Consider the following 19739-nt stretch of genomic DNA (forward strand, 5'->3'; position numbering starts at 1 on the left):
GGAAGCGAATAAGAGCCTCAGCTTTGATCACACACACAATAACCTCAGCACCGAGGCATCCATCCTAATCACTTTTGATTACAAATGGATTAAATGGGACAGCAGCTGCACAGAGCTGCTTTGATTCAGCCCCGCTCAATAATGAGATGCACAGGCACAGGCTGGTAGGCTGCAGCTATCAGCCCCGCCCAGCCCTCAGCCCACCACCTTCAGGGGCTCCTCTGAGTGGTAGGCAGTGATCAGAGACACAGAGGAAACTAAGGCAACTTGCATGAGCCCTGAAATCAGTAACCTCAGTGCCCTCAGCCTCTTTTGAGATCTCCTCATGGCCCACCTACATGCTATACTCTGGCAGTTGTGCCCCCACGTTCTGCACCATTGCTGCAAACATGCAGCTTGGTCCGTCCGTATTCCCATGAAGCTGGGTGTGCAGCCATGGGTCAAACAACAGCTGCTCTGCTTAAATGAATCCCCAGAGGGTCCGGGGGCTCTTCCCCTCCTCTATGCCCCATATATGGCCATGTGATCTATCAGGGCTGGTAGGGATAATAATATTCTCACTAATATCATTTATTGGTATAATAGGTATAAAGCACATTCATGGCCTCCATCCCATTTTATTTTCCCCCAAATCCTGTGAGCTAGCCAGGATTTGGAGGACCTTATTTTCAGAAATAAGGAAACTGAATTTCAAGCAAGTAAAATGGCTTTTCCTGGGTGCCTTTGATACCCATTCTGGTTCTTTGGGGACCAGCCCAAGCTCTGTCATTCTGCCATGTAAGCATCTACCAGCTTCTCCTTCCCCTCACTGGAGAGTGTCCTGAGTGTATCTAATTTCTAATGGTGGCCCCATGAAAGCAGTGATTGCCATGTGTGTCTATTTTTGTGTACAGACTGAACCACTCAAGGGCTGATGAGGTATGAGCAGCTGCCTTGGCTAAATTGCAAGGCTTAAGGGAGGGAAGGGAGATAAGTGGAATTCAACCCCAAAGCCAAGAGTCCTCTGGGCTGGTGGATGCACTAACAAATTTGACCTTGGGGCATTTAATGTTTGGCCAAAAGAGTTTGAAAGAGCACTGGGGAATTCCCTGTTTCTAATAAAAGCTTCATAGAAGAGCCAACATTTCCAGTCACCTCCTGCCCACCTTTGCCCTAAGCCCAGGAAGGCAAGTTGCCAACCTTATGCTGAGGTGGCCACTTACAACTTGCCCATGGTAATAGCCAAAGCCCCTCCGCATTGCCCACAGCTCTCCCATGTGAAGAGATTTAGAGGGCCAGGTGTAAGGGAGAGGAAGGGTACAAAGTTTAACACCAACAATTTCATCTGTTAATGTGGTACAGTATCTTCTCCTGATGATCTCATTTTAGTGGTCTAAGTTGAGCCTCGCCATACCCCTTAAAGATATCACAGGATGGAGGGAAGACTAACTCATATTTATGAGGCACTGACTCCTTTGTCTCATTACAGACATCGAAACATCCCCATCCAAACATCCCTATGAGGTAGCTAATGTTATCCACCTTTTATGGATGATAAACAGAAACTTGAGATTCAGCTTCTAAGAAGAGCTCATATCTGAACTTGAGTATGATTGGCTACTAAGCATGTGTTACTTTGCAGAACACACTGCCCCATCTGCATTCTAACTGCACAAGTGAATAAATTGAGCTGAATATGTGAAATGATAAGTAACTGGAATAAGGTCACAGTGCTAGGTCATGACAGGATTTGGATTAGAATCCAGGAGTCTTAACCTCAGTCTAGTCCTCTTTCTACATTATAAACTGCAGGGGCTCTTCCAACGTGCAAATTACTTTTTCCTGCCAGAAGCCTTCACCATGATGTTCCATCTACCTGAAGTGCCTCTCCCACAGCTCTTCAGTTAGCAACTTCTACTCATCCTTTGGGGGATGGCTTTATTGTCACTTCCTCAGGAAAGCCTTCCTTGACCACTCTCAAATTCTACATCAGACCGGTCTTCATTAATTCTTTTGTCCTACCCATACCTTTTTTCTCATTACTTTTTCTTGAACTTATCACAGCTCTAAATTATATTTGGTTTTCATATTCAAAATAAATGCTGTCTCCCCTAATAGACTCTTGGGTTCCCTGAGAGCAGGGCTTATATATTATTTGTTCATTGGCGTATCCCCAGAATGCATCACAAGGCCTGGCACTTGCAGGGGCTCCCTAAGAGAAAGTTGAAATTCAGAATGAATGTAGCAAGCAGATGAGAGGGGGAAATGAATCTTCAGTTCCAAAGAAACTCGCAGACATGTAGACCCACTGGAATAGGTCCAGGTGTAGCAGACTCACTGCGTTTATCTGGGATTTACTCAGGTACATCTTGAATTCCTAATAATGCAGATTTCTCAACGTGTTCTACAAGGTGGGTCAATCCCAAACACCTTTTGATTCTCCTTCCCTAAGACATCCTCAATGTATGTAGTGCTGCAGCCAAGACAAGCTATGCATCAGCCCACAAACCCACTGTGTGTTAGTGTTCTGCATTGAGGCTCCCAGCACTGAGCCAAACCAAGATGTTCATGGGCTATTGACCATGCCTACCCTACCACCTACCCACTCCAATCTTCCCAACGTCAACAAAAATCATTCTTCAACTTCTTAGGCAAAAACCCTTGGCATCGTCCTTCACTCCTGTCTTAACCTCTCATGCCATAGCTAATCAGTCAGCAAATACTGGGGGCTGTTAAGAAAACAGCCAGTGGGCACTTTTTTTCAGTGTATCTCAAATTGTGCCCCACATTGGTTTTTCTCCTCCATATTACCCCCCATATCTCTCAGAGTCATTCATGCACCATGACCTATACCTCTTAGCTCTGACCTAATGGCTCTTACGTGATGTGGCCTCACTCTGCTGTCACCTCCTACCACTGCCCTTGCTCTTTTTCTCTGCTCTAGGGTGCCAATCTCTTTGCTGTTCCACCAACACTTTGAGTACTATTCATGTCAGTAACTTTGCACATTCTATTTCCTCTTTTGGATTGCTCTTCTCCCAAATACCAGATGGCTCACTCCCTTCTTTCATTCATTTGGGTTTCACTCTAACATTCCCTCCTTAGAGAGGCCTTCCCTGATCAGCTTATTTAAAGCAGCATATCCCCCACTCTGCTTTTTCTTTCTGCTTTATTTCTCTCTTCTTTTATTATAATTAACAGGTTATAGTGTTATGATCGTTATTGTTTATTGTTATTATTTTACTTCATTGTTTGTCTCATTGAGAATAAGGACTTTGGGTTTTTTTTTGGTTCGTTTTGGGGTTTTTATTTGTTTGTTTTTTGTTTTTGTTTTTGTTTTCATTTTGCTATTTCCCTACATCCTAAAAAAATAAATATTTATGTAATGAATTCATTGGCATCTTTCACATGAACTCCGTGCAAAAGTCTGACTACCCTCACACCTGGATTGGCACTGAGGACATGGTGATTCCTGAAGTTGTTGGGATGCCCTGTTCCATACAAGTTACCTGGACTGAATTCCAGACTAGTTGATGTCTTAAGTGGACGGGCTGATGAACACACCAGTGGTGCATTGGGGCCAACTCATGCTAGGTGGCAAGAGCCAGATGGGCACATCTCTTTCCAACTCTGCAATCAGTGACTTCAGGCTAGTAGCTTGACATCTTGGGAGTATTTACACTATGGAAATTGGCAAATGCCTCACAATGGTGATTCCCCCACCCAGAGAGCCAGTTGTTGAAGAATTTCCAGCACATGACTGGTTAGTTACAGTTACTCTCACTGGCATGGTGTGCTCAGATCTGCCTGCCACATTGAGGGGAAGGCTTTTATAAGCTAGATGATGAGTGATGGCATTGCGATCCGTGTTCAAGAAGAAAAAGTTGAAAGCACTTGGGATATTTTGCCTGGGCGTGTCATCAAAGGATCAGAGGCTGGCTACTGGAATAAACAGGCTGTAGCGTGTGCCTACGGGCAGGACTGGGGAGCAACGGGAGAGGATGAGTCCTCTAGTTTTGGTGTTTGGATCTAACTTCAGTCATGGGGCCTAGAAGCTGTTGCTTAATCCATCTTGTTTTTTTTTTTTTTCAGTCTGTAGAATGAGGTTCACATTCCCTATTTCACAGGAAGATCATGAAGGTTAAAAAAAAAAGCAATTAGTTCCTGCTCCCCAGAACTAGAGAGACAAGTTTCAGTGAGGCATATTTCAAATGCATAAAGGTAGAACTTGTTAAGGGCTATTGCTGTGTCACTAAAATAGCAAGTGCCACTTCCCCAAAGTGCTCAAGCTGAGCTCCCATCTGTCAGAAAAGGTGGAAAAGGGAATTCCTGCATTGGAGGAAGGCTGGTCTGGATTATCCCTTCCATGCTAAGACTTCTAAAGCCAAGAGCATGTCCCTGGGCAAGTCACTGCCCGATTTTTTGCCTCATTTCCTCCATCTGTCAAACCAGCAGGGAAGTTTCCAGCCCTTCCTGTTTTTCATTGTTGTTGGGATGATTATGTGAGATCATCTTTTGAAATGTTTCTAGGTTGAGGGAGTAAAGCTATTTTATCAATCTCATATCTTACTACTTTTGTTATATTAAAAATGCTTTATATCTTGAAATAGGACAAGACTCCCTGTGACTTGATTATCAAGAATGCCTGCCATTTGCACTCAATAGATTGAAAGGGTAAATATTTAAAGCAGCCCTATTGCAAAACTCTTGTAAATTTTATGTGGAAATAAGCTGTGTTTGTTATAGTTGGAGTGCTTATTAATATCCTATGAGGTTGAGGAAAGCCTTAGAGTGAGTAGAGAGAATGGCCACTGCTGTTAACATGCACATGTCTTTCATTGCGATATGGCAAAGGTAAGAGAGGGGAAAGAAGTTGGTATTCTTTTCCACTTTCTTGATGTTCTTCTTTCCTGGAGCCACCCTTGCTTTGTATAGCTCCCCGTGTAGCAACGGTTCTTATGCTCTCCAAATTATGAGCCTCCCTCACCTCTACTTTCTAGATCTGGAATTTCTCTTTATCAAAAGAGCTGAGTTCTCCAATTTTTCTTATCTAGTTATAAGTGAAGCACAAACAGAAATCCTGAGAATAGTTGCACAGCATTTGTGGTATAATTGACGAATACTGGGTTCTTTATTAAAACTAGAGTTAAGTAGAAAGGGTTGTGGAGAAAACATGAAACCTCTTCTTCTATGAAAGAACAGTGAGAGATGAGGGCATGGCTCTTCCTAGAGATACAGATAGGCTTTGCCAACTCCTGTTACGTCAAGAGCCCTACCACTCCACCACTTTTGTTGTGTTATCTGTTCCTCAAGTGGACTCTAGGTAATCTCTCCCTTTAGTAATAGACAAGGTGTATGAAGCCTGATAATGCCTTGGGTGAGTGTCAGAGCCATCCATAGCCTATCCAGTTTCAAAGGCTGTCAGATCAGAAAGGATTGTACAGAGTTCTTCATGTTAGAGGTGGGGAATATTAAGGGTCTGCAGGGATATGACTTGCTCAAGGTTGCACTTTTAGTGAATTGCTGAGTGTGTCTGCAAAAGTGAACATTGCCAGTCCCTTCGGTGGGCCCTTCTTTGTGCTATAAATAAAGGGTTTGGGCATGTGATTACTAAAGGGCTTTCAGACTAACTTCGCAGCTACTTCCAGTCCTGCTGATGTAGGATCTGTGTGTTACATTCATTTTGCTCAGTCTCAGTGGGCAATGTATAGAGAGCTATCCCCCAACTGAATCAGCCAGAAATTCTGGACAGGTTTGGCCAAAAATGGGTAGACTGTGAGTCAAGCATACGTGTGAGTTCAGGGAGAACAATGAAAGGATATCTTATTTGGAGAAGAGGTCTGGGGAGATCTAATCCACATTTGACTGAGATGTTTTGGCATAAAGAAAACCTTCATTTCCAGATACCTCTGTGAGATGAGCACAGAGTTCTTGAGAGTGAAATCATGGAGATTATTTTTAGCAAATGGATTGGTTGAGGCAGGATTGTATGAGACGCAAATACACACATACATAGCCCAGAAAAGGAGAGTTTCTGGCGACACAGCTGCTTCCAGAAGCTGTTTCCAGAAGGTATGAAACACAAGAGGGAGATTTTTAACAAAGGACGAGGAAGTATACATGCCAAGGAGCCAGACTTCCTTGGAAGTTGTCATGAGAAGAATCTAGTCCTGTTTTCCAAGGATGTTTTGTTTGCCTAATGCACTGAGAGCATCTTTAGAAGCTGTGGCAGATTCTGCAGAGTATCTTCAATGGTGAAGAATCATTTTGAAAACAGCCAGCTGTCTCAGTCCTCAAAGAGCTCCCAATGCTAAGGAGTGGCAGGACCGAATCCTGGCATTTGCAATGCCAGTAACACTAATGCAAGAGCAGGGCCATCTGTGGAAGGGATTGCAAATTGATTGCACAGTTTTCAAATAGCAGTTCAAAGATATTTTCATTTCAACCAATGGCAAAGCATACAAGCAAGCAAGTTCCAGTTGGCTAATTAAAATAAACAAGCAAATAACCTGATTTAATGTCTTTGAAAATACTCAGTAATATTTCTGATAAAAACTGTTAGCAGAAGTATTTGATAGACAAAGACTATATTTTAAAATATTTATTTTGTGAAGGTTGTTTTTTGCAAAGGAGAGGAAGAGCTTGCTTTTCACCTCTCTTCTCTTTGGTGAAGATAGTTGTCTTCCTTGAAGGCCCTGCATCCTGCTGTCCAGCTCCTTCATTCTGTCAGGCACAAGACTGTTCTTGCCACCTGTGCTCTTTCTAGATCTCATGCTGTGTTGGATTTGAAGATGAAACAATAGCATGTTTCATACCTGTGGTAATAGAGATGGCTTACTTGGGATTTTCTACTTCTCTGTATTATTAAAAGTTATAATACACTTTAATATTATTAAAAGTAATAATTGCCCACCTATATGATCATGATATCACTCTTTCTTGGGATGCAACTATCTCCTTCCCATTATTGGTTACCATCTGTGATGGTGTCTGGAACTTGGCATGCCATTGCTGGAAGGAAGGAAGGAAGGAAAAAAGTGTGGGAGGGAGGAAGGAAGAGAGGAAAGAAGGAAAGAAGGAAGGAAGGAAGGATTGGGGGAAGGAGGGGGAAGGGACAGAGGGTAAACTTGTTTGGGGAGAGAAGATACACATGATAATTAACAATGTTCATAGCAGTGTATAGTACAAAATCCTTTGGTCACCCAGATTTAGGAATGAAACTCCTTTGAACAAAGTCAGCTTGAGTTTAGAAAAATTTGAAGGGGAGATCAAGATGGCAGAGACAATACCTTAGATGCCTATCTTGTGGGGCTGCATGGGGCTAATGGAAAGTCTGACTTTTACCTGCATGGTGAGTCACCTGAGGCATGGCTGGCAGTGGTACCAATGTCCCTGGGGACCAGGCTGCCTCCCTGGCAGAGTAGGGAGGGAGATAGCAACCTTCCATGAAGGGATTCCCAAGGGGATCATGGATGGCTGAGACAGAGAACTGGACTTTCCATGATTCAGAGCTATGTCCACATTCCAGTTCTGCCACTTTTTGCTGTCATAACCTTAGGTGAGTTATTTAAGCAGTTTGAGCCTCAGTGTGTTCAACTATAAACTGGAGAAAATAATACTATCTTGCACTGATAGTGTGAAATTTAAGATAGATAATGAAGTTAAAGTACCTACCTGGTACAAGAACAGGCTAAAGTAGGTCCTGAGACAGAAGAACAGGCAAAAGTAGGTCCTGAAAAATCATAGTGACTTTTCATATTATAATAGCCAAGAGTTCAAGGTGGGCTTTCTGGAGGAGATTCTCCTATTTTTCCTGCAACTTTTACAATTATAAAAGTTATGAATACCTGCAACTACAAGGTTCAGTTCATTGAGTTCTGCCTGGCTTTATCCCTTTCGGATGCCCACCTGTAATCATGATTAATTGCTCCAGATTTGGCCGAGGGACCCAGATTCTCTGCCAAATTGGCTCCACTAAGCTGAGGAGCAGAGCTTTTGACTTCGGTGCTCAGATACTCTCTGAAACAAGCACCTTCTGACTTTTCCATTCTCTGCCACTGAGTGAGCCCAGGGATTTAAATCAGTTTCCTGGGATTCACCAAGGGGATGAATTAGAAAGCTTTGATACTCATCTTGGGCCAAGTGAGCAGATCATCTGGTCAGTTCTAAGCAGAAATTCCGTAAATGATGAGAAGAAGAGGAAAGCGAGGGTGGATATTCCCTCAGCACCCAGCTTTGCTTGGCATATGTTCAAGGAGGGAATCCTCCTTTATTGGCTTTTTACGGACTTTGGAAACAGCCCACAGATGCTTGCAATGTGATTTCTTAATTTTGTTGGAAGGAAAGGACCTACAACCCAGATTGTGCTCCTGAGAAGCAACATATCTTTAGCTCTTTCCTCTTTTCTTACATTAGTTGTTCTTTCCAAAACATGTAGCTTGCAGAACTTCAGATGAAGACAGCAGGCATACTGCCTGCAAGATTGGCCAGGCGCAGTGGCTCATGTCTGTAATCCCAGCACTATGGGAGGTCAAGGTGGGCAGATCACCTGAGGTTGAGAAGTTCAAGACCAGCCTGGCCAATGTGGCAAAATCCTATCTCTACTAAAAATGTAAAATTAGCCAGGCATGTTGGCGCGTGCCTGTAATCCCAGCTACTTGGGAGGCTGAGACATGAGAATTGCTTGAACCCTCGAGGCAGAGGTTGCTGTGAGCCAAGACTGTGCCACTGCACTCCAGCCTGGGTGACAAGAGTGAAACTTCATCTCAAAAAAAAAAAAAAGTATAAAGAAAGAAAGGGAAGGCATTTTCCCCATGAGTAACTCATGCACATATTAAAGGCAGTACGGTCTTAAAATGAGGTCTGGTCATGTGTTCAATCCACTCCTAGTAGGAGACGACTATCTTAGCATCTTTACAGAGATAAGCTGCTTAATTCTCTTTCCCCAGGTAAATTCTATTAGCACTGAGAATGGCTTGCTCATGTATGTAGTATCCTTCTCTGTTAAAATATGGATTTGCCAAATTTATTTTTTACAAAGCTTTAATTTAAATAGATGTTAACATGGAAGTCCAATACAATATACCAGTAAAAGTTATGTTATTCTGAATAAAGAGGGGTTAAGAGCCTGGAACTCCCACCTCAGTGCCTCTCACTCACCTCACAATCCCCAAGGCCCTTCCATGAAATTCAGGGCTTCTTAGCGCACAGTTTGAAAACCACTGTCTTGTGGATTTCCTTTTTCTTTTCTTTTTTTTTTTTTTTTTTTTTTTTTTTGAGACGGAATCTTGCTCTGTCACCCCGGCTGGAGTGCAGTGGCGTGATCTCGGCTCACTGCAACCTCCGCCTCTCAAGTTCATGCCGTTCTCCTGCCTCAGCCTCCCGAGTAGCTGGAACTACAGGCACCTGCCACTATGCCCAGCTAATTTTTTTTTTATTTTTAATAGAGATGAGGTGTTAGCCAGGATGGTCTCAATCTCCTGACCTCATGATCTGCCCGCCTCGGCCTCCCAAAGTGGATTTCTTATTCATCATTCATTTCAGAATGTTAGATACAACATGGACAACCTGATAGAGCTCCCAACAGTATACATACCCAAGGTAGCCAGAGGCTCATAAGATATTATGATGTAGTGAAAAAGAACATGAGTTAGCCAAGCCAGGCTCAAATACATTCTATCACCTACTAATCCTGAATGAACCCCAGAGACTACTTTAGTCTCTTGAGCCACTTTTGACTGAAATGATTAATAAATGCTGATATTAACATCCATATCACCAGTTTCTACCAGATTTACCTATGTAAACTTCTCACCCAAAAACCGCAGAAGATGCCCTACATAAAATCCAGTTTTCTTGCATCTAAAACAAATTATATGTCAAGTTTTAAAGGGGTGGGACAAACTTCTGTAGGTTCATTAAGTTCAAATAAGTTTCTTTGGGTTCATTAAGTTCAACATAAAACAAGACTCATCATCTCAGTGAGTCTATATCAGGGCATTTGGAGGTCTCGTCTTTCATGTGGTCTCTAATTATCTCTTCAATCTGAAAGGTGGAGGATTAAAGACATTTCCACCCAGAAGTTGAAATAGCTATGACTTGGACAGCAAGCAAATGTACACACCACTGTAAGAGTATGGGTTGTATGTGCCAAGGTTACACATGGAGTCTTTAAAAATATATATAAAAGCTCTCTTGGCTCCATATCTGGGGGATTTTGTTAAAGATCTCACCTGTAAATATTAGAACCCCATCATTTAAAGAAGCAATAAAAGAAAAATATAAGGAATCAAGACCAGGCTTGCTTGGAGTTATGTACAAAGTTATTATTAGTCATCCTTGTTGCTCTTTAAGAAGGGAGCCTAAAATTAAGACTGGAGGTGTCAGTGATTTCAGGTTTAACCTTTAAAATTTCATGAGGCTGAGAGGATTTAGCAAAAGGACACAGTTCAGCTAGGATGGCAATTTTGAGTATATAACTTGCTTCTTAGGCTGGTGGGAAACCACCCCCGCGGTCTCTACACTACCCGTCCACTGCCACCCCCACCCCAATGCCTTGGCCATTTGAACTAATGCCTTTTGAATTGGAAGATTGTTTACTGTTAGCTAGGGTGTGGATTTGACTTCAGCCTCACTGGAATGGGGAACTCATGTAGCAGTCTGAGTGGCCATCTGTCCAAATTCCTGTTTGTAAGCCAATAACAGATCCATAGTACAAGACTATCTCTTTGTCCTCCCCTCTGACCTTCTGATTATTAATAGGAATTCTTCCACAAAGTGTAAACAAGCTCTTAGAGGTGTGTATTTTCAGGGGACAGAGGAGATGGTGTCCCTCCATCTTTTCTCCAGCCTTGGGGTGAGAGGGATGCTTTAGGGTGCTGGCAGGGTAGGGCCAAAGGGAAAATGACATTCATTTCATAGGTGGTAAAATGAGACCTGCATAGGTAAATGATCCCATGACAGATCCCATATTGAGTTGTTGCAGAACCAGGACTATGACAGAGGTTTGTTTGTTTGTTTGTTTGTTTCCCTCCAAGTCCAATGCTGTTTTGTATGACAGTGTTTCACTTATCCTTGGAAAGAGTAGCAACCTATTGGTTCCATTTTACCTACCTTATTTTCCAATTTCCAGATTTCCTTCTGTGGTCCCAATGGATTTGTGGTCTCCTTCATGGTTGGTCATTTCAGAGCCTTTTGCTTGGTAGAAGCCCTCCTTAGACCCCTTTCCTTTTCTCTGTCTTGACCCCTGACATATCTTACAATTCTTCCTGCCTGTTTCAGAGTCCCCAGTACCCAGTATGGCTGGATATTAGAAACTTTCTTTGGGTTGCATACATACAGTTAGATTTTTTGTTTCTGATTCTCCACTGGGTAAGTCACTTTATCTTTCTGTGCCTCAGTTGCCATTTACAATGGAGAGTGTGGGGCTAGTTCATCTCAAGCAGCCCCCTGCACACATATGATTAGATGTTTGCCTCGGCTTGCTGGAACAATTTTCCTTACCCGTAGGCTGTTCTGAACTTTTTTATGGGTTGAAAGGTTGTGGTGGGCCTGAGTTCAACTTCCATTCTAGAGCCAAAGTAAGAAGTGAGTAACACTTTACGAAATAAAGAGGGAGAAAAAGATTCATTTCCTACATTGCAAATAGAAATGAGGGCAGATTGAAAAGAGGAGAGGTGAAGTAGGAGGCTTACTTAACAAAAGGATGGTACCTTTGAGGGTAAATTTGAAAATGGGTCATTTGTTCTCGCCAAAGCCATCTTCACTCTGTCTCTCTACCTACCTACCTAGCTACCTATGCATCAATCCATCTGTCCATTCATGTGCCAGCATCCTTTGCTTTGGCCCATAAGAAAGGAGATAATCTGGGAAGAGCAAATGACTTGGAGTATCCCCAGGGCCACCAGTCTTCAGCTTGTCCAGCTGCATAAGATCCTTCTGGCCAGATGTTCAGCATGACCCACACCCTGCCTTTTGTGTCAGTGTCCCCCTTCCCAGATGCAAGCATCTGGGTTCAGCCAGAGCAATTGGTGCGGGTATGTGAGGCCCCACTCTATCCAAATGGAGTATGCATTTTTGATAAAGGGCCAGCAGAGGGGACATGACGTTTGTTCCTGGGGCAGGAGGACAGAGGGGAAAAAAATGGAGTCACCTCCTCCCCTCCTGTGTGAAGGTTTAGAAGCTATAGAAGTTTGCAGGGAGAAGGGCAGCTGTTTGGAGGGACAGCCTTAGGCTCACAGAGGTCACAAGGGAATGCTAGTGGCAGCTGTACCATGGATAGTTTTGGGTGGGAGACGCAAAGAGAGAATCCCATTCAGAGAACAGAGTTTGAAAAAGACAAGGGAGCAGAATGCCGCTGCTTAGGAAGCTGAAGGGATTTCTACTCTCACCTCCTTAGGACCCCACAGCATCCTTCATCTCCCTTCAATTCTCCTTGTTCTCCAACCCTGCCCTCAAGCTCAGAGAGAGAGAGAGAAAATAAGAAAGCAACCTGAATTTATGCCAAGAGAGAAACTGCAGCTCCTCAACAAATGGAAGGCAGGGTCATCCTCCTAATATTTTGAATGTGGACTGTTCCAGAGAGCAGCAAGACATGTCAGGAATGAGATTGGTTTGAGCAGGGCCCCAGGAACACTGCCGGGCTCCACCAGGGAGATGAAAGAATTTTCTCCTTCCTTTGCCTTTTAAATGTAATTCTGTCTGCCCTCTGCACCCCGCACCCTCTCGACCCTCTAGCTGGGAGCGGTGCGGACATTTAGCCATCCTGGGAAAAGACAGGATCCTTTTCATTAACTCCAGCCTGATTGGAGTCCCTAGGGCCATGGCGAATTTCATTTTACTCCCTCTCTGCCTCCCTGTCTTGGATCCCCCTCAACCCTAGACACAACAAGGCTACCATGAGCAGTGAACTGTTTCCCAATGGGATGGAGTGGAGATAGGGTTCAAGCAGGAGAGGCAGTAGAGAAGGGTCTAGGATGTGCGCTTTTCAAGGCAGTGGCTTTGAGGAGGGACATGTGTACTTCCTCCCCATGCCTCAATTTCCCCTGGATTTCTGAGCAAATCTATCCCAGCTTTAGGGTAGAAATCAGCAGCCAGTTATGTCTGGTTGTCAGCGCTGGATTGGACAGATATAATCTCGAGTGGAGATTTCTGCAGAGGTGCTCAGGGTTAGCAGACTTAACCAATCCTATTTTTAACTAGCAATGTGATCTTGAAAATGTCACTTATCAGCTTCTTCTGCAAAATAAGGACTTAGTCTGGAGTTTTAAGGTATGTTTTAGTACCAAACATTGGTTTTCAACTGAAGTCGCATACAAGAACCAGGGAAAAGCAGAGCCACTCTGAGTGAAGGTAGAGAGACAGGCACAGTGCACGCCCTTTGTCTACACATTTTCTCACCCCAGTTTCCCAGCAGAGGTGGCTCCTGAGCCCACTGGGGACACAATGATTTTCTCCTCTTCTCCAGGGACCTCCAACTGCCTCCCTCAGGCCCTGACACTAAGAATGGAACTCTTTTGCGATATCCTGATGTAGGTGGTCTGTGATCTTTTCCTTTATTTCTGATCCACACCTGAGCACCATATATTAGTGCCTGAGGTTCAGCTGTTTCTCCATCCCTTGGTGTGTAATTTGTAGACTTATGGGAAATAATCTGCTTTGAAAAGGGGAGTGCTCAAGATGCAGGGTTTATGTTTGGCCCAACAGCCCATGCATTTGGTTAGAGCGTGGTTAGAACCCAGAAAGGCCAGGAAGGCAGAAGGCCAGAAAAGCCAGAAAGGCAAGGGGGTTGTGACGTAATGGTGAGGAAAGACACACTGTTGTACATACCGTTTTTTCAGGACGCATTGTGAGATGTCACAAGCCTTGCCTTTGGTTGTTTCCCAGGTCAGATAACACCTTCAATGCATGCTAGTTTGTGAGTTAAACATTCCAAATCTCCCAAATAAAGGAATCCAGATAGAAGTTATTTGAGTTCCATCCCTGACATTATATCCCTGTATCCTCCCACACATCATCAGATGCACTAACACATCTGAACTGGGATGGGCCCATTTAACATTTTACTGTTTCAACCAGTGCAAGGGGTGAGACCACTATCTCTCCCTGGTGATGGATTTATTCACCATTCAGCTTCTTTCCCTTTTATATTGTTCTTCCTTAAATTTAACCTCCAATTTCTACACTGAAACACCACCCAATATTCTTCTAGTAAAACCTGTAGTGGCTGGAGAAGAGCTTGTCCCCAGTGCCTGAGTTGATTAATTCATTCAAATATTTGAGTGCCTCCTTCACACAGGAAACATGCTAGGCGCTGAGTGCTGTTTCCTTTTGTTGGCTTGGAAGATATCTTAAGCCTGCCTCTCACACTTCTGTTCTCTAGGCTCAGCAATTTAGGTATTCTGGTCCTCACCTCTGGGCTGACAATATTTCCATTTTCCTTTTAAGTCATTTGACAAACAGGTTATTTAGTGATAATTTTATGTCCAGACTCTTCTCAACACATTGAGATATGCAAAATTTACATAAGATAGAAGCCATCGTCTTTTTAGACAGGGTCTTGTTGGGCATGTTCTTGTTAGGTGAAAAATAGACGAGTAAAAATACACACAACAGCACGAAACAAAACTAGGAAGATATCTACCTTCTGCACGCCCAGGGTCTGGAGAATTTGAGCACTGGTTCCAATATACTAACACATGTTGGTGGGCGTGTTCCTGCACAGGTCACTCTCATGCCCGTACCTCATCCCAGCCTTTTATTTTCCGTCCTTTCCAGCTCCATACGAATCTTATGCCCAGCTCAAGCTAGAGGTAAAGGTTTACTGATAAATTCAGATGGATAAATGGTCATTATCAATTAAATACAAGCATTTCTGCAAGGAAGAGTTAGTTAAGGGTTGTTCACCAGGATACATGCTTTATGTTACTTTCTGTGGCTCATTTGACTAATATTCTGGCACTCAGCTTTTTTCCCGTGCCATATCTCCTCAACAAATGGTCTCCAGTGTGCTATAATTCAGACGCATTTTATTATAGAGGAAAAAGCATGAGCTTTGGGAAAATATAGTTGGGGATTTAAATCCCAAATACATGTACTAGCTGTGAAACCTAGAAAATGTTACTTAGCTTTCGTAAGTCTCAATTTTCCCATCAGTAAAGAGGAGATACTTTCTGTCTCATGAAGGAGTTGTGAATATTAAAAATGAAAAATTACATAAAGCAGCACCCAGTATGCCAGCCACCCAGGTGATCCTCACCGTATCCTAATTCCCTACCTTTCTCCTTAAGGTCGGCTGTGGCTGGCACTTAACAGATGCAAATGGAGGTGTGTTAGGATTGGCCATTTCCTTTTTCACATCTTTGCTCTTGCACCTGCTCCCACCTGAAGTGCGTTGCCCTGCCACCTTTCCATGTGAAATCAAGGCCAAATGCAAGCTCCATCTTATTTCAACAAGCCCACCCTGACTGCTCTTGCTTCATTTCCCCAGTTTGATGCTCACACTTGACTGCACTCTGCTCCCACTGATGTACACATGTCTGCATGTCTGATTCTTTCACCAAACTTTAGGTTCCTTTAAGGCAGGGACAAAGTCTATCATTACATTTCACCCTTAGTTCCTAGTAAGTGGCCTAATGTGTTGTGGCTTGGCTGTTTAATTATCATCAGAGGGGTCAAACCAGCTCTCCACCAGGGTGGTGCTGCCTGCCCCCAAGACACCTTCCACATGGGGGGATCTAGCCTGCAGGATGGGGAATGGGGGGGTGGGGAACAGTGCAGGTTTTACCTTCTCCACCTCTCTTCTGCTGGATCCTAGCTTCAACATCACTTAAGCACCATTTTTGGCAGTCATTTAAGGAAGCTAAAAATTCCAGTTGAGCTTTTCTGAAGGCTGGAGGCCCTGGGGCTCAGCATGATTTCTTCTCTTTCTTGACCCAAACAAAACATTGTTACAGCAAACATGAAGTCTTTCCTATTTTTCACAAATGCTCTCCAGGCCTAACAAAGCTAGCAGTCACCCTCCTTGAATCAAAATAAGCATCTGCCTTTTCCTCTTTATCTCACACTTTCCCAGCATTTATTATAAGAATGTGATTATTTTGCTAGTTAATCATACATTTTTATTTAATGTTTTCTTGTGCAAAACCCTGGAAAGGATGCAAAAATATTTAAAACCGTAACTTTAGTCTTTAATATTGATTAAACACAGAGGTGCAGAAAGTACATATAACTGACTTTTATTCTTTTATGTTGTATATGATTGTTTGAAGTATAAATGATAAAATCCTAATAGTGTATAAAATCCTAAATAGTGTATAAAATCATAGGCAACATATGAAAAAGGGAAACTGAGTCACATGTAGCTGTAAAGAGGAGAGGGTCATTTTTACTGAGCTGATTTTTTTTTTGTTTGTTTAAAAAAGAAAGAAAAAATGGTCGGGTGCAGTGGCTCACACCTGTAATCCCAGCACTTTGGGAGGCCAAGGCAGGCGTATCACCTGATGTCAGGAGTTCGAGACCAGTCTGACCAACATGGAGAGACCTCGTCTCTACTAAAAATACAAAAATTAGCCGGGCATGGTGGCAGGCATCTGTAATCCCAGCTACTTGGGAGGCTGAGGCAGGAGAATTGCTTGAACCTGGGAGACGGAGGTTGTGGTTAGCCAAGATCATGCCACTGTACTCCAGCGAGAGAGAGAGAGAGAGAGAGAGAGAGAGAGGACGGAAGGAAGGGAGGAAGGAAGGAAGGAAGGAAGGAAGGAAGGAAGGAAGGAAGGAAGGAAGGAAGGAAGGAAAAGCCCTCTTAGAGGAGATGGACCTTTGTCTCTGAAGCAGTAATTCTTGTATCACAGACCACTTTGATAGCAGGAAGAAAGCCAGGGCCCATCTCTCTAAGGAAATATATACATCTATAGATTCACACATACTTACAATTTCAGGGAGCCATGGACCTGATGAAGGCCATCCATAGCCCATGGTTCCTAATTTAAGACCCTCTGAAGAACTGATAGCACATAGAAATAGTTTAGAGAGAGCAGCAAGAGAGAAGTGATGAAGTCAGAGATGGAGCACAAAGTGGGAAGGCCATTGAGCCTAGATTCCCAGTCCAGAAATCTCACATTTGCCTTCTGCGATCCCACTTCTGTAGCTCTCATCCAGGCTATGGTAAGTCCATTGCTGGTCAGTTGTCGTGGGGATACTGTATGCAAACTGAAAAGTGTCACTGAGAAAATTTCTTTATTCTTTTGCAGCTCCTCACAGCCAGTGACCTTGCAGCCAGTGACCTCAAAGGATTTCAGCCACAGGTAAGTTCCACTGATGCTTTTAAGAAGTTTGGAAGAGTAAAATGATCCAGAGTTTGGTTGTCAACAAGCACCTTTGGGGCCAGGACAGAAACCCGAACCTTGGATTTCTAGCTTCTTTCCCTAGCTAACTGACAATGACCTGGTGGCTTGCTCTCCTCCTCCAGCTCCTCTCATTCTAGCATGGACAAAACCACCTCTTTCTGCTCTTTCGTTCCTAATATTCTATAGGAGAAAAATATATAGAGATCAAGATGCTCGGAATGTTAAGTGTTGGGGATTCAGCTTAGGAAAGGGTTAAACCAATGGCGGCAGAGGGTGGGTTGGGTTTGGGGTTCTCCCCTGCATTTCTCTCTTTTTGGACAGGACACTCGCATGTCTGTAATCTTTGCGGCAAATGCCTCCTAGTCAAGGCCTGATAGCCAAGTTAATCTCAGACTCCTGCAGAGGCAGACAGTTGAGGTTTGCTGATCTTGGTCAGGAAATGGGCCACTGTTATCTCTGGCCAGAGTGGTGTTTGGAGGTTACTATGGGCAAACTGTGTGAGGATGTAGGCAAGGGCTTTCTGGAGACTTTTTTGCAGGGGTGAAAATGGACATCATCCTGCCTGTCTCTGGAAAAGGAGTCCACACAAAGACACATACACACAAATCTCAGCTATACAAAAGCCCTTGTGTGCTCACATAGAGCCTGGTGTAGTTAGAACATGTACATAAAGAAAGATCAATCCAAAGGTGATCATTAAGGGACTTGGCCCCTGCCGCTGTCCCCCTTGCAAAATGAAACTTTCTGTCACCCTTCAACTCAGTGCCTGCCTCAAGGTCTCACAGTGCTGTACCTTTGTGGGAAAATAAATTATAGCTAACGGCAGCGAACTTCCAGGGGTCGAGCAAATATGTTTCTAATTGCAGGAATTTCATGTATTTGGGCACGTTTTCTTCTTTAAAGGTGTTTCACATCCAGGAGCCCACTGCACCCTCCCTACCCTTCTCCCATGTGAGCCACATCCTGTGCGCACCCTCTCACTGCTGAGGAACCTGAGGACCCAGTCCTGATGCACAGTGGCCCCAGATCACACAGAGAGCTAGGAACAGGTGACAGTGGGAGGCTAGAGGAAGAGAATTAACAGAATCAAGGGCCCTGTTGGTGAGAATCAAAGATAGATTCGCACACCAGTGTGGGGTGTTGTCATCTCACCTTGTTAATCCTCCTGTCTGGAAAGTAGTGAGTTTTTAGACAGAGATGGCCAGTAAGCCTTTTTTGTCAACCACTGAAAACCTTTAATTAATTACTTTTTCACATATTTACACAAACTTCCAGTTGGGCTAAGGGAATGTGAAACAAAAACAAAAGAAAATCAACATTTACCGCCTACCCCACCCACCTCCACACCTACACTCATACATGGTGGCAATTCCAGGTAAATATTTTGTTTTAATCTGAAAATTTATAACATTAAAGGAAATTGTGTGGTGCTGTTTTACTGCTTGAAAAGGACACCCGGTAGAGACTGAGTTTATTGGAGTTGTGTGTGTGCGCGTGGTTTTGGCATGGTTTCCTTCGGAGCTGAACACGTTCTCTCCGTGTTTGTTGACCTACACTTTTAGATATTAGATTTAAACTAATAGAGCAAACTTTCCAGTGAAGGAGAAGTTAGCTATATTTGAGGTTCGTGCATAACATTTGAGGGCATTATCCTAGAAAGGCAGCTTCCAGCCTCCCCCACAACCAGCCCCACAGCTTCCAGTGCAGATGGCTCGCTCCTCTGGTTCTGTTCAGCCCTTCCATGTTATTCCATTTGCGTGTCATCACCCTGAGGCAAGAAACATAAATGCCTATTTTTCACTCCTCAGGATGCCTGTTCTTGAGGCCAGGAAGTCCTGGGAAACTGGTGGCCAGGGTGTAATGCCCAGATCAAAGTTAATTCTCTAGTGAAAGGCCCAGATGTGTCTCGGGTCAACAGCATCCTTTTGGGTGCTTTTTAAAACAGAAATAGAAAGCTGTCCACAGGCATTGCACTGCCCCCTCCAGCCCCACTGCACCAAACTGCTGGCTTCTGTTGTTATTTTTCCCCTTCTCTCTTTGGGTTTCAGATGAAACTGAGTCCCACACAATAATGCATGGGTGTGTTCCCCTCCAAGACCCATCATTGACTGTCAGGAGGGGACTCACTGAGGACCCCTCCCAGGGATAACTATCTGTCCTCTCAGCTTTTGCATGGTGCCCACTTACCACTTGAATGTAGAGGTTTTCTGTTTGTTTTTCTTGATGCCTGTTCCTGCTTTAGACTCTTAAGGAAGATAGTTACAAAATCTTTGATGATTTTGAAAGTGTGTAGAGTAGTGACTGTATTGAGCTGGCTTTTCTGTTGATTTGTCTCTGTCTTCTCTCTGCTTCCAGATAGAGAAGAGGAAGGTAAGGAAGTGATTACCTACCTTTCTCCCCATGGTTATTGGTTAC

General features: G+C 43.6%; 1 protein-coding gene across 19 annotated transcripts in view; it reads left to right on the top strand.

Moving 5' to 3' along the window:
- SETBP1 (SET binding protein 1) overlaps positions 1-19739 on the top strand; it is a 388438-nt gene that overhangs the window by 171929 nt on the left and 196770 nt on the right. For all 19 annotated transcript variants that reach the window (XM_024451149.2, XM_024451156.2, NM_001379141.1 and 16 more), the window contains one exon: positions 17229-17282. In XM_024451149.2, coding sequence (XP_024306917.1) covers positions 17229-17282 — 54 coding nt within the window. The remainder of the gene's footprint in view (positions 1-17228; positions 17283-19739) is intronic.

The sequence above is a fragment of the Homo sapiens genome, chromosome 18 (genome assembly GCF_000001405.40).
Source record: "Homo sapiens chromosome 18, GRCh38.p14 Primary Assembly".
Classification (NCBI taxonomy): domain Eukaryota; kingdom Metazoa; phylum Chordata; class Mammalia; order Primates; family Hominidae; genus Homo; species Homo sapiens.